General features: G+C 37.3%; 2 long non-coding RNA genes across 4 annotated transcripts in view; one reads left to right on the top strand and one right to left on the bottom strand.

Annotated features, from left to right (window-relative positions):
- The window catches only part of LOC105377567 (uncharacterized), a 158,458-nt gene that overhangs the window by 19,192 nt on the left and 125,471 nt on the right, over window positions 1-13,795 (bottom strand). The window lies entirely within an intron of this gene.
- Window positions 3,978-13,795, top strand: part of LOC105377565 (uncharacterized) — a 72,379-nt gene continuing 62,561 nt past the window's right edge. Inside the window, exons 1-2 of the long non-coding RNA XR_939517.3 lie at window positions 3,978-4,038; window positions 8,529-8,652. This is a non-coding gene — a long non-coding RNA (uncharacterized LOC105377565). The remainder of the gene's footprint in view (window positions 4,039-8,528; window positions 8,653-13,795) is intronic.

The raw sequence follows: 13,795 nt of genomic DNA, 5'->3' as shown, positions 1-13,795 counted from the left end.
TCTATATTTTTTTTTCTTAAGTCAGCTGGATGTAGTGGCACATGCCTATAGTCCCAGCTACTCAGGAAGCTAAGATGGAAGAATTGCTTGAGTTCAGGAGTTTGAGGTTACAGAGAGCTATGATTGTATCCCTCCAGTCTGGGTGAGAGAGTGAGACCCTGTCTCAGAAAAAAAAAAAAAAAAGAAAGAAAAGAAAAAAAGAGCATGAGCATTTCGATTTTTGAAATGTACCACCTTTCTTGACATGGTCAATACTTCTGGGTAAGTTCATCTCCTTTTGTGAGAATGTGTGTGTGTGTGTGTGTGTGTGTGTGTGAGACATAGGAGTTATTGGGTGTGCAAGGTAACTTATTTTTCGTTATTTGGAGGTTGAAGGAAAGAGTGAGTGGTATTTAATCGGACAATCAGACAGTGACAAATGGATAGGCAAAGGTCAAAGATATGGGGCAACCTCACAGCCTAGAATATTTCCAGGGTGCTCACTTTGCCCAAATTAGAGAAAGACTTTGAAGGAGGCAGGAAATAATTCTGGAAGGCCTAGATCAGTATGCTGCTTTAAGATGATCCAACTTTTTAAACAGAAGAAATGTGGATCGTTTTAAAAAGGCAGGCTGGTATATTTCTGTTTTGGATAATCAAGTTAGCAACGTGGCGGATGGCTACACTGAATGAAGCAAGCTGGTTAAGAGACCTTTACATTAACCCACAATTGAAATGGGGAAAGTCTTAACTGACACAATGGCCATGAGAATGTAAAGAGAGAGGCTCCCAACTTATTTGGAAAGCATAATTGATAGATAGTTTTAACCATCTGAGAACAGAAGTTTATAGAATATCTTTCTGATTTGGGGCTTAAGTGACTGAAGCACCATTTACTAACACAAAGATCATAAGAGAAACAAAAGGGGTGCAAAATTAGGGAAGGAGAAAATAATGAATTTGTTTTCAGATTTTTTAAGTTTTGGATTTTTCAAGTTCAGCAAAAATCTCAGTAGACTGGGCTCAGCACTTTTATACATGTTACTCTCATTTTATAATTGAGGACATTAAAACTAAGAGATCCTATGTGTGTTATCTTAAGGCTTTACAGCTACTATGTGGTAAGGAAAGGATTTTACTTCAATTCCTTGACTTGAAGCGCCATCCCTGCTACAGAACTGGCTGGACAGCTTTTTAAATTATACCTGTCTACCACAGTTTCTTTATCTGGAAAATAATGGTGGTATCTCTCCTTTTGATTATCTGAGATATATATTAGAAAGTTAAGATTTAGTAAATAAGGCAAAAATCTATAAAGTGAATATACTGGCTGGCCTTGATATAAGATCCTTTCGAAACCTAATCATCGGTGGGAAATATCTTGTCAAAAAACAAAATGGAAATGGTTGTGTGGCACTGCCCTACCATTCCACATTGATTCCACTTAATTAGGGGACCAAAAACCATGTCCATGTCTACATTGATAGAGGACAGTGGATATGGAGCATGAAAGGGACCAGATGGCTCTTAAAGTTGAATCGGCTACCTAGCAAGACATTGACTCTGAATATTTTCATTTCTCTCTGTTTCAGGCTGGCCTCTAATGCTCTTTTAATGTAGATTTTTATTTGTGCATTTCATGGGTTGTTATGTGAATCTGTTGCTGATGAGTATGTTGAATCTTAAGGCTTTTGTGAAAATTAGCATGATTCTTTGTAGTTAGGAATAACAAATATATTCCTTTTGATAGAAAGGAAAATTAAAAGCTTTTCTGGTTATCTTTATTCTTAAATTTTGCTCATATTGATTTATTTAGATGGTAATCATCACTAAACTTAAAAAGATTATATCAAATGAGAGCATGTTATATAATGTCTATTTTGCTCTTTGCTAGAAATGGACCATTACAATGCCAAAATGCATTATTGGAGTAACTTATTTTCCTGGTTTTCACCCTCCCCCACTCTACTGTGAAAAGATATGTTAGTGTATTCCTCTAAGGTCTTGCATTTTTAGAGATGATGAAAAAGAATTTGTCATGCATAACATAAAGCAGAAATATTATTTATCACTGAAGTTAGTAGAGGGTTGAAACATGTTTAATTGTACAGAGTATGCAGCAGTAAGTCAGCTTGTGGAATTTTAAAAAGTTGCATTTAGGTAGAAAGGATTTTGTTACTTGAAAGGTTTAAAGAATTTTAAGAAATCAATTGCATAGTGTTTATCAAAAGTGAATAGCTGGAGTTTAGGAGAACTGACTCACGGGTCATACTATCTGCGTTCAAAGGGTATCTCAATACCCCCTCACTACAGGGTGACCTTCAGTAACTCATTTATCTCTTTCTACTACTAATTCTTTAAGTGCAAAAGGAGGAAAATAATAGGCACCATCTTACAGGGCTATTGTGTTATAATTAAATGAATCAGTTTTTGTAAAGGTGTTAGAATACCGCTTGACTCATAATTAGCCTTCAATATAGGCTAGCTTTTATAATGATTTGAATGAATCTATTTTTCTACTTTTTGCTATAATAGTTATCAAATAACATTTATTATGTAAGCTCAGATTTTTCTAAATATGAAATGCCAGAAGGTCTCAATTATTTAGAACTCATCAGAAAATCAGAGAGCAAGAAAAAATGTGAGTAGCAAAGAGCTATCACAAACTCCATGCACCCAATTTGAAGTATATTAGCTATATAGGAAAGCCTAGCATGTTTAGGTCCAGGGCTATGCCACAAGAGATACAACAATAAACAAGAATCTTCTCCCTTAAGCAATTTGTAATCTAGTTGGAAAATAAATAAAAATAAATAGAGTGTTGTGTCTTGCAGGATTGTTTTTATGAGTGGATTACAAGAAGAGAGGGATCAAAGAAGGCATGTGAATGTTGGCAGAAAGGCAGACTTCCAGAAAGAAGCCCCATCATGTGGATCCACACTGCTGTTTCGTCATTTCTAAATTCACTTCTAGAATTATTCCCTCTAGACTAAGCCTCAGTCTCAGGCTATCTAACAGCTGAGGCCTCATTTCTAGTTATGTGTACTGCTGGACAGCACCGTTTCTTTCTTTTTTTTTTTTTTTTGAGATGGAGTCTTGCTGTGTTGCCCAGGCTGGAGTGCAGTGGCACGATCTCGGCTCACTGCAATCTCTGCCTCCCGGGTTCAAGTTATGCTCCTGCCTCAGCCTCCTGAGTAGCTGGGATTACAGGCACCCACGACCACACCCAGCTATTTTTTTTTATTTTTTTTAGTAGAGACGGGGTTTCACCATGTTGACCAGGCTAGTCTTGAACTCCTGACATCGTGATCCACCCGCCTCTGCCTCCCGAAGTTCTGGGATTACAGGTGTGAGCCACAGCGTCCGGCCAGCATCATTAATTTAATGAATATTTACTGAGCACCAACCAAAGTGAAGCACGGAAAGACGGCATCATGGACCTTTTAGTCTAGAGTTTTGAAAACAGTCACAAAATGAACAAAGCCGTACTGAGTTCTCTGAATAAACTAAAACAGGGTATAATAATAGTGTGTGAGTGACAGAATCCATTGTATTTTGCATGGCCGTGAAAGTGCGCTCAGAAGATACGACCTGGGTGGATGAGCAGCAGCAGGCAGCCTGGGAGGGTCTAGCAGCAGAGCGCTCCGGGAAGAAGGAAGCACAACAGCGAGGGCCTGAAGGCAGAAAGTTTGGAAACTGCTAGGAGAAAGCCTCTCAGAGCGAGAAGGTTTGTGAAGAAGATCTGGAAGGTGGATATGAGACAAGATTTAGAACTTGAGGGTCAGTTGCTAAGAGAAAAAGGATAACGTGGGGGTTTGGGAGTGATATGGCTTGGATTTTGGCCCCTCCCAACTCTTGCAATCCGGGTTTGGGAGGCGGGGCCTGGTGGGAGGTGATTGGATGATGGAGGCGGACTTCCCCCTTGCCTTTCTCGTGATAGTGAGTGAGTTCTCACGAGATCTGCTGGTTTAAAAGTGTGTAGCACCTCTCCCTTCACTCTCTTTCTCCTGTTTGGCCGTGTACCAAGTTCCTGCCTGTCTTCTGTCTTCACCCGTGACTGTAAGTTTCCTGAAGCCTCCCCAGCCATGCTTCCCATACAGCCTGCAGAGCCATGAGACAACTAAACCTTTTTACTTTATAAATTACCTGGTTTCAGGTATTTCTTTATAGCAGTGTGAGAGCAGACTACTTACTACAGGGACGAAAATAGATGTCCAATTCGTGTTTTAAAAAGAGTTCTTCAGGTGCTATGGGAATGGAAAGCAGGGGCCTCAGGCAGCCGCTGGGAAAAGAATTCAGAGGCTACTGCATGATGGGGGTCAGGTGTGGTGGCTTCAACGGACATGAAGAGAAATAGATGATGCTAGAATGAATTTTGGAAGTAGAGCTCACAGAATTTGCTGATTGAGTAGATGTGAGAATGTGAAAAAGACAGGAATTGAGCCAACTCCTAGGTTTCTGGGAGGTAAGATAGACTATGCTCCCACGATGGGATTCCAAGAGAAAAAAACGTACTCAGGGAGGGAAATAAAGATTTCTCTTTTAGCCCTTTCAAGTGTGAGGCACACATCGCCATTTCAGTGGCAATGTGGCATAACATGCGTTCATAACAGAGCGACTATATGTTTCTCAACCTCATTACTATAGACTTTTTCGCCCAGATATTTATTTGTTCTGGGGGCTGTCCTGTGCATGTCTGCATTGTAGGATATGTCACAGCACCTCTTGCCTCTGCCTACTTAATGACAGTGTCTCCCCCACCCAGTTGTGAAAACCAAAAATGTCTCCAGAAATGGCTGAGTGAGGGCAAGGCAGTGAGCGAAATTGCTCAGGATTGAGAATCACTGGGCTGCAGAAACAAATTTAAATGTAAAAATACAGATGGAATTTGGCACCAGAATGTGGATGATCTCACCTATGGAAAGATAAAAAAGAGTAGAGGGTTCACACTAGGGGACTTCACAATTAGAAAGAGAACAGAGGCTCCAGCAGAGGAGACAATCAGGCAGGGATTCCAGCTGATGAGTGCGGTGGGCTGGGTGGGAGTCCTGGAGGAGAAGTTGCCAGCAGGAGGGGGTGAGCATGTGTGGCTCACATGAATGAGTTTGATTAGGTAAACCAGGACAGAAAAACAATCACTTCAAGATCTGTATCAAAAGAGAACTCTTCTAAAGAAGCCGCGAGACAGTCTCCACATGAACATTGCTGTAACCATAAATCATTTTTGCAGGACATTTGCTTGGACAAGGGTCTGACAATGGCTAAGAGTTAGTTGCTTATAAGCTCTTCCTTAATATGATTAGCTTCATTTGAATTTAGTACACAAGGGGCTGGCTGCAGGTGAGGATGGATGAGAACTTCCGCCCATGGATTTGCACAAGAGGTAGAAGTACCTCCAGGGAGCAAAGGGGCATGGACCTGAAGCTCCCACCTGCCTCCTCCTTACCATTGAATTGTAATGCTTTACCAATATCTGCACTGCCAAAGATCAAGGCCAGATTGCAAAAAAAGACAAAGTGTTCATGCAAGGAAACTTATCATGCAGGTGGAAGGACTCCAGACCAGCAGACTGGTCTCTGCTCTGAGGGCAATGCATCACAGAGGAGTGCCACTCTGGACCTAGCCTGTTTCTGACACTGAAAACTTTCTTGCCAGCCATGCTGATCCTGCAAACATTTGGAGAGGGGTTGCCATGGACATGAACTGGAGAAGCTGTATTTCCAAAATGCTATAGCACCCAAGATTCAGCCACATATGGCAGTGCTTTCCTGGCTTATTAAAAAACCAAGTCAGGAAAGGGGCAGAGAGAGCCCTGCCAAGCTCCCAACCCCAAAAGCATTGTGATGGAAATGAAATCACAGCACAAGGGCCTGGCAATAGAAAGCTTTAGAGGCACTGTGACTAGGTGCTTTGGTGGCAATTGCACTTTAGCCAGTAACAATGGCAGCAACTTTAGACTTCCAAGACCACCATAAGGAGTGACTGATCAGATCTTCAGTTACATCATGGCTATTTTAGCAGTGACACTTGAGACAATGAAGCAGAGACAAGCCAGCAGATTCATACAGGAGGAATTGGAGAGGGCAGGGAGGTGAGAGAAGACAGAAGCTGAAGAATTCAGCCACAGAAGAGCTAATGAATTTATATATATATATAATTCCTGCAGAATTAACTGTGCTGGGTCAGGGGATATATAGATTTATAATTTCAATTAATAATTTTAGTAGACACTGATAGATTAAACTTTTAGTAACTTACAATAATACATAAGCCCACTTATGAATTAATAATAACAATTTCTCTAAATATTCACCAGCTCTAGATTTAAATGATCTTTAATTTTGGCAATCTGATGGGTTTAAAAAAAGTTTTCTCATTGTTGCTCTAAATTGTAATTTATGTTCACTAGTGAAGACAAAATAGACATAGGCTCTTTGTACTTACTATTCTATAAAACATCTATTCGTATTCTTTCCTTATTTTTTTTTGTGAGAATATTGGTCCATGTATTAGTGTGTTCAAATGCCACTATAAAGAACTGCCTGAGACTGAGTAATTTAGAAAGAAAAGAGGTTTAATTGACTCACAGTTCTACAGGGCTGGGGAGGCCTCAGGAAATTTGCAATCATGCCAGAAGGGGAAGCAAACAAGTCCTTCTTCACATGGTGGCAGGAAGGAAAAGAATGATTGCCCAGTGAAGGGGAAAGCTCCTTATAAAACCACCACATCTCCTGAGAACAAACTCACTATCACAAGAACAGCATGGGGGAAACTGCCCCCATGATTCAATCATCTCCACCTGGTGTCTCCCATAATCTGTGGGGATTATGGGAACTACAATTCAAGATGAGATTTGGGTGGGGACACAGCCAAACCATATCAGTTCATTTCACATGTATTTATAGGAACTCTTTTTATATTAGGGGCATTATTCTTTGTCATATTTCAAGATATCATCCTATTTAATATAGGTGTATTTCTGCAAAACAATTTACATATTCCCGTAAATCACTGATGCTTGTCTGATAACACTTCTCTGAAAACCCAAAATTTAGATGACTCCCTTGTGAAAGTCTGAATGTACAACCCCTAGAAAAGACTGACATTCCTATTAGTAGGACAGGTAGGGACTTTGAATTATGAAAATATATATTATTAATATGATTTTTTTTCATAACATGATTAGGAAAAAAGTGACCACCTGTTTGTTTTAGGATAAGGATCTAGCTCATCATTCCTTTGCTTTGAAAGACAGTTGGGTCTTTCTAAACCATCATGAGTTTCTTCATTTAAGGTAGATTTCCCAACCAAAAGATAATCCCTGAGGTGCTATTAGTTGTTGGAATAAAAAAAAGTCTGTGGTTAAATATATTTGGAAAATATTTTGTATTTTTATAAAAGTTTTTATTAAAAGATTTCACCAGTACTTTTAAATACTAATGTTCATTATGAATCACTTAGAGAAACCTGAATGTGCAGAATTCCCAAGATTATTGAACTACAGCCCTTCGAGGTTTCTTTTTTCCGACTAGTTTTTTTCCAGCGATAGTATTTCATGAAACAACATTTTTGATGAATGCTGACTTCAGGAACTATCTTCACACTTCTTTGCAAATGAATGGCTTTCCTTGTATTTGCCTTAGAACTGCCATCTTGTCACCACAAATCCTTCAGAGGCAACAGCAAACCTTGTATAAAATTACTAGGGAACATTTTTGAAAAGATTCATAAATTCAGTACAAGGTTTGAGTTGAGTTGGCACAACCTAAATGTAGTTAGACATTGTACAGTAAAGTAAAAAATAAAGCTCAGTGTTTTTGATTTTTCTTGTGTGTGGGTAGGGTGGAGGGGTTTGCCATATCTCTATGAAGGTTATAAGAAGGGGCCACTCCTTTAACCCAAACAACATATGAAGAGATATGTGCAGAAAGATGGGAACTTAACACTTTCTGAGATGCCTTTACTAATTAGGTAGAGCTAAAACAGAACAATATAATTATAATATTTTAAAAATATTTTAGTATAATTTTGCTTATATTTATGATGAATTTTACTTACATTTAACTGTTTTGGAAGCATCACATTTTTACAAATTTATTCGTTCTAATTTCTCAGGACATACCCTGATTTCCTTTGTTGTTACTCAATATAATTTTAAAATTTAGTTTGGTTTTGCCCACCTTTATATGTTCATGAAGAGTAGAGGTAAAATTATAAGAGATATATTGGTTGAGAGAATTACCATAAATCATCTATATTGACATGACTGGCTCATCATGCAATTAATTAGAAGGTAATATTGATAAAATATAAGTAAATGATGGCTAATTACTCCTGAATTCCTATGCTTACCATTTTACCCATGGTTTTTAATAACTACTGGTTCTTCACTGTTCAGCACATAGGAACATTTCTTCTAAAAATGCAGACTTATGCACTGCCTATTAAAGTTATTGCCAGCATCTCAGAAACTGAAGTAAATGCTTTCACAAATAGCATTTCCAATGAATAATGCTGAAATCAGACTTTTTTTTTTTTTCCATTGCAAGTGCCTCAAGTAGTTGGCTCCTTTCCCACCGGCTACTTTGTAACTGCGAATATGACAACATGACGGTGATTCACAGATGCCAAAATATGACGAGCAGAGCAAATCTGTGTTCCAGATATGATAAGGTGAGAAAAGCGGAACTCTCGGCCCCAGGTGATTTCCATGAAGACACCTACATACGGCGGGCCTCACTATCTGTACCATGCAGCCGCCAACTCTAATAACCTGGCCAGGAGAGAAACACATCTAAAAATGCAAATGAATGAAAAAAATAAAACTGGGTTGCATAGTAACATCTTAAGCAGATTTGAGAGATGTATGTTTGAAAAGCATAAGCTTCAGCCTTGGAAAATGCTTTCTGTTGTATTCAACACATATTGGGCTAGAACTAAGAAAAATACATAGAAATTATGAATGCCTTTAAAAGTCCCTTCTCCAATCCACCAACCTTATAAACAATGCAATATTGAGTGAAATAACAGCCTGTTTCTTATTTTTATCGTAATATTTGGAACCTTATTTTAAATATACATATGCTTTATAGATTATAGTTACACATCATTGGAACAGAGAAAATAGATTGTGAACATGCGTCTTAGAAAGACCAGCTACACAATCATATAAACCACTTCTCATTCTTGCACCGCAGCACTCAGGAATAATATAATTACAAATTATACAAGACTGTTTTTACTGGTTGTACATATACATTTTGTATATTGAACTCATACATTCTGACTTCTGCCAAGCCTGATTGGCAATTTAACTGATGTGAGCTCATTTACTGGCAGAATTTATACTTAAAGTCAGTGTTTTCCATGTCCAGTCCAGAAGAGGCTTTTATTAGACAAAAGATAATGTAGATAAATATTATAGTAACTTTACCAGCATGAGAAAATTAAAGGTATTTTTATGTCAGATGATGATTTCTAAATATATTGTTTAAAATAAATGTGAGAAAAATAAGAATATATATTTTTCTTTTTTAATAAATGAGAAAAAGATTTGATAAGAAAAAATAAGAAAAAAGAAAATAAGAAAAAAAATTGTCAATGTTTCTTCTAATGCATACCTTAATGGTATTACTTGGATGTATCTGCGTATGTTAAGCAACAGTGCTATTTTTGAAAACTACATAGTATAGGAAAATAAGAGTTGTAGCATAGACGGTTTTCAAGCAGTTTCTTGTCAGTTTGTATGGCAAGCTACAGATGAACTGCAGAGTATTTACAGATGTTAAGCTCTCTGAGAGGAGACTTGTTTGTTTACCATTGCATTTCAACATTTAGTACAGTGCCAAACATGCAGTAGGTGTTCAGTAAACATTTGTGGAATGAATTCATGAATAAATTGAGAATTGAAGTCGATTTTGGAAGACGAGGCCTAATCAAAATATTTTGCAAACTACCCAAGTCCAGCAATCAATATTAAATATAAACTACCTTTTGCCTCACTGTATACATTAAGGTTCTTTTTGCAAAGAATTGCTCAAAATGTTTCCTCATCAATTTCCTCCTTTTTTAGGGTGACATGAAGGAAGAAAAAGAACCTATTATCATGTAAAAACCATACTATGGAAAGCGATTTCATAAAAAGTGGAATTCTGTAATATAATGCTACTTATTCACCACATTCTATTGATAAAGGCTTGGTCCCTACCTCACGGTATCTCTTCCTCCCTGCCAATATGGCATCCAGAGCAATGATAGGACAGAAACATGTTCATTTCAACATTCACCCACACACACTTTACCATTTCTGACAACATGCCTTGATTCTTTGAATGCTTACTATATTCCAAGCACACACTACATTCTGTACACATATAATCTCATTGAAGTACATGCTGTTATTATCCCTGTTATACAAATAAGAAACTTAGGCTCAGATAGGTAAGTAAATTACCCAAGGTTATATAAAAGAAAGTGGTGGGACATTTATTAAACAGTCAGAGAAAAATAATTCTATCTAGCTTCTTAGCTACATAGCATTAAGAAGCCTTATAAAGGAGTAAACCAAAGGCAAGAGAAGGACTAAATTGAGAAAGAGACTAAGAAAGATACAGACTAAAGAATGTGTACTGGATTTCTAGATTAGGAATGCAAAACAGTTTCAAAGGAGTATTTGGAAGAAGCCAGGTAGCAATGCATTGAGCAATTAATGAATAGTGAGAAGGCAAATAAAATGGATTAGCCACCTGGGAGAGTAAGGAGATAAATTTGGTTATGTGTAGAGGAGAAGGGGAGAAATATATCTGGTTACTAGAAGAATGATCTAGGTATGTTTTTAGCCTGAGAAGCAACAGATTGATTTAGGAGACAGATTCCTCTTAGGGTATGGGATGGAGAGCAGTCTATAGATTCAAATGAGATCTGTCTGTAGATGCAGAATAAATCAGAATGAAATGCACATTTCATACACAAATGTTGGCCTTGCATGTATACATGCTATAATTGTCTATATTCATCGCATATATAAATATTTATTAAATAATGCAGGGCCGCCAATATTTATGGCAATTTATTCAGTCATGAGCAGTGAGCAGTGATAAAGGCACGTGCTTGGTTCCTGTAGTGGGGCCCAGAGACCAAAGGCTCAAACCTGACCTTAGGAACCTTGGCGCCTAGCAGACAACACAAGAGAGATTTGCTTCAATCCATGACAAGCTTCATTATTCTGAGTTTATGTAGGAGGAAGACCTAAGCCAGTGGGAGGGAAGAGGTTTTCTAAAAGAGGTACAAGAAGTTGAATATTACAGTTAAATTTTAATACTTAAATAAACATACACATAGGTGTTGGATGTATTTATACATATGTAGATACATGTACACTCTATCAGTGTTGAGTTTCAGAACCAGAGAACATCATAGAAACCATATTTGAAACAATGATCTCTAAGTGATGGGAAGGCTTATAAAATAATCACAATACAACTTTCTTAGTTTTTAAATATAAATAGACACAGACATATTTTGAGTATTTTCTTTTTCAATTAGAGAATTATTCAGAAATTATGAAATTTGAAGTCATATTGCTTAATAACTACTTTGAATGATTATTTTTGAGAACCAAAATTACGAGAAAAAAATTGCAGTATAGATAGAATGAAATTAAGGTCCTTCGGAGCAAATGTCTTACCAGATAAATGTAAAATAATAATAGTATAGAATGAAATTAAGGTCCTTTGGAGCAAATGTCTTACCAGATAAATGTAAAATAATAATAGTAGAAACCATGTAGCATTTATTCCTCACAATATCACTGGGTGGGATAATATTATTACTAGCATTTTACAGATGAGAAAACTGAAGACTAAGAAGTTAATGAGCTGGCCTCTTTAACCCAATAGTAAATGTAATACTACCTGTATTAAGGACAACTCTGGGAATATATCATCACATAATTTGAAAGGTTAAGATGGAATAAATAGACCAGACATGGTGGCTCATACCTGTAATCCTAGCACTTTGGAGGCCAAGGCATGTGGATCATTTGAGTCCAGAAGACTGAGACCAGCCTGGGTATTATTTTGTAGAGACTCCACCTCTACAAAGAAAAAAAAAAAATAGCTGCATATGGTGGCACACATCTGTGGTCCCACCTACTTGGGAAGCTGAGGTAGGAGGATCGCTTGATCCCAGAAGTTTGTGACCAGCCTGGGCATCACAGTGAGGCCCCCATGTCTACAAAATAAAAAAAAAAAATAGCCTGGTGTGGTGGTGTGCACCTGTGGTCCCACCTCCTTGAGAAGCTGAGGTGGGAGGATCACTTGAGGCCAGGAGGTCGAGGCTGCAATGAGTCATGATCCTGCCATGGTGGGCAGTAGAGTGAGACTCTGTCTCACACACAAAAAAGGGACAAATAAAATACTATTGGATAACAAAAGAAATCTTAATATTAACAAGTTGATCAAAGTATCAAAACACATAAAAGTTTCCAACAGGTTTAATTCTGAACACACAGAAGCACACAAATGTAAAAGCTATCAGATTAATTTCCATGAGACTAAAATATACGACCTCACATTTGAATGCAACATGGAATCCTGGTTGGTATCATGCTGAGACAGTTCTTGTTTGGTTTTGGTTTAATTTTCTTTGAGATATTGATTGTTACATCATCTACATCACCTCATAAGATACAGACTTTTAATATTAATATAATATACTTACTAATTCAATACAAAAAAGAGATATCATTAATTTAGAAAACATAAATTTTTAATATCCCAATGTAAGTTACGATGCCAAAGTAGCCCAAAGGAAAAAAGAAAAGTACAATTGTGGAGTGAAGTCTGTGTGGAAGATACACCCCATGGAAGCCTTTCATTTGATTGGATTTACAGTGTAATTACTTTGCAAGTAAAGAAAAGTACAGATTCCTCCCTTTCACTTACTCTCTCTCCCTGCTACTCTCTTTCTCTATAAAAGCATGTGAACTTTAAGTTGATCTAAAAGAACGTCTGAAACATTGAAAACTTTGCATGCTACTTAATATTAAAAACTGCTCCTGAGAGACGTCTATGTCAAATTTCACCTTTGGCTACGATATTATAAAATCCAATATTAAAATCATTACAATGAGCATGTGCATGGAGGGGGAACTAGTGTGTGGTGCAAGGGAAATAATTAGGAAATACATTTTGGGATCAGATTAGAGAGTCCTTCAGTGCCAGTCTAAGAATTTTCTGCTTTATTCAAAAAACCGTAGGAAGCCACTGCAGGTTTTTGAGCTAGATGACATGGCCAATGTCATGCTTCAGAAAGGAAAAGTTGACAGCAGTGTTTGGAGCCTTCAGAAAAGAGAAAAACTAGAAACTGAGAGATTAGGAAGCCCATTAAGCTGTGCACTAAATAGTGCATAGTTTCTCTCATTATTGATAGAAAGTAGATTTCAGATCATTTACATCGTTTTGAAAATTCCTCATTTAAAAGTTGTGCCTAACAGTTTTCTCTCAATGATAGAGGTCATATGACTATGTGAATTAAAGAAGATGTCTCGAGAAGTAATGAAGTTAAAGCATATTTTAAACAAAAAATGTGCTTAGAGGTTATTTTAAAAAGAGAGACAGAAAGAGAGTGAGACTGTCAGAATCCTGTGAAAACTTGCCTACTTGCACTGAAAGATTACCCTCTAGTGAATTGCCTTCAGGCTGCATTTTCAGAAATTATATTCTAGTAGTGGTCAATTTTTCAACCCAAAGGGTGATATTTCTCTCCATAAATTTGATTCCCAGTCAATATTTCTTACACATAATATGATCTAGGT

Source organism: Homo sapiens, chromosome 4, assembly GCF_000001405.40.
Source record: "Homo sapiens chromosome 4, GRCh38.p14 Primary Assembly".
Taxonomy (NCBI): Eukaryota; Metazoa; Chordata; class Mammalia; order Primates; family Hominidae; genus Homo; species Homo sapiens.
The sequence above is the reverse complement of the archived record's forward strand: the minus strand, read 5'-3'. Positions and strand labels throughout refer to the sequence as shown.